This window comes from Homo sapiens, chromosome 7 (genome assembly GCF_000001405.40).
Source record: "Homo sapiens chromosome 7, GRCh38.p14 Primary Assembly".
NCBI classification, from domain to species: domain Eukaryota; kingdom Metazoa; phylum Chordata; class Mammalia; order Primates; family Hominidae; genus Homo; species Homo sapiens.
In genome coordinates this window covers 55,311,543-55,312,345 of record NC_000007.14, presented here as the reverse complement: position 1 = coordinate 55,312,345, position 803 = coordinate 55,311,543, and the positions used below count along the sequence as shown (strand labels likewise).

Below are 803 nucleotides of genomic sequence, written 5' to 3'. Positions count from 1 at the left end.
TGTGTGTGTGTCCAACTTGTGAGCATAAAGTAACATCAAATCCATTACACTACAATGGTTAATGCACTGGCCAGTCTCTTCCTAGACTCTAGGGCCTTCCTTACCTTGGACCCCCCCACCTCCCTCCCGGACGGGGCGGCTGGCCGGGCGGGGGGCTGACCCCCCCACCTCCCTCCCCGACGGGGCGGCTGGCCGGGCGGGGGGCTGACCCCCCCCACCTCCCTCCTGGACGGGGCGGCTGGCCTGGCCGGGGCTGACCCCCACCTCTCTCCCGGACGGGGTGGCTGCTGGGCGGAGACGCTCCTCACTTCCCAGACGGGGTGGCTGCCGGTGGAGGGGCTCCTCACTTCTCAGACGGGGCGGCTGCCGGGTGGAGGGGCTCCTCACTTCTCAGACGGGGCAGTTGCCGGGCAGAGGGTCTCCTCACTTCTCAGACGGGGCGGCCGGGCAGAGACGCTCCTCACCTCCCAGACGGGGCGGCGGGGCAGAGGTGCTCCCCACATCTCAGACGATGGGCGGCCGGGCAGAGACGCTCCTCACTTCCTAGATGGGATGGCGGCCGGGAAGACGCGCTCCTCACTTCCTAGATGGGATGGCGGCCGGGCAGAGACGCTCCTCACTTTCCAGACTGGGCAGCCAGGCAGAGGGGCTCCTCACGTCCCAGACGACGGGTGGCCAGGCAGAGACGCTCCTCACTTCCCAGACGGGGTGGCGGCCGGGCAGAGGCTGCACTCCCGGCACTTTGGGAGGCCAAGGCAGGCGGCTGGGAGGTGGAGGTTGTAGCGAGCCGAGATCACGCCACC

General features: G+C 68.7%; 1 annotated feature.

Annotated features, from left to right (window-relative positions):
• Window positions 303-803: an enhancer, noted in NCBI's record as "H3K27ac hESC enhancer chr7:55379236-55379736 (GRCh37/hg19 assembly coordinates)". NCBI's record gives its function as "activates a minimal SCP1, AML or CMV promoter by ChIP-STARR-seq in naive H9 embryonic stem cells {active_cell/tissue: H9 hESC(naive)}" and the evidence as "EXISTENCE:reporter gene assay evidence [ECO:0000049][PMID:30033119]".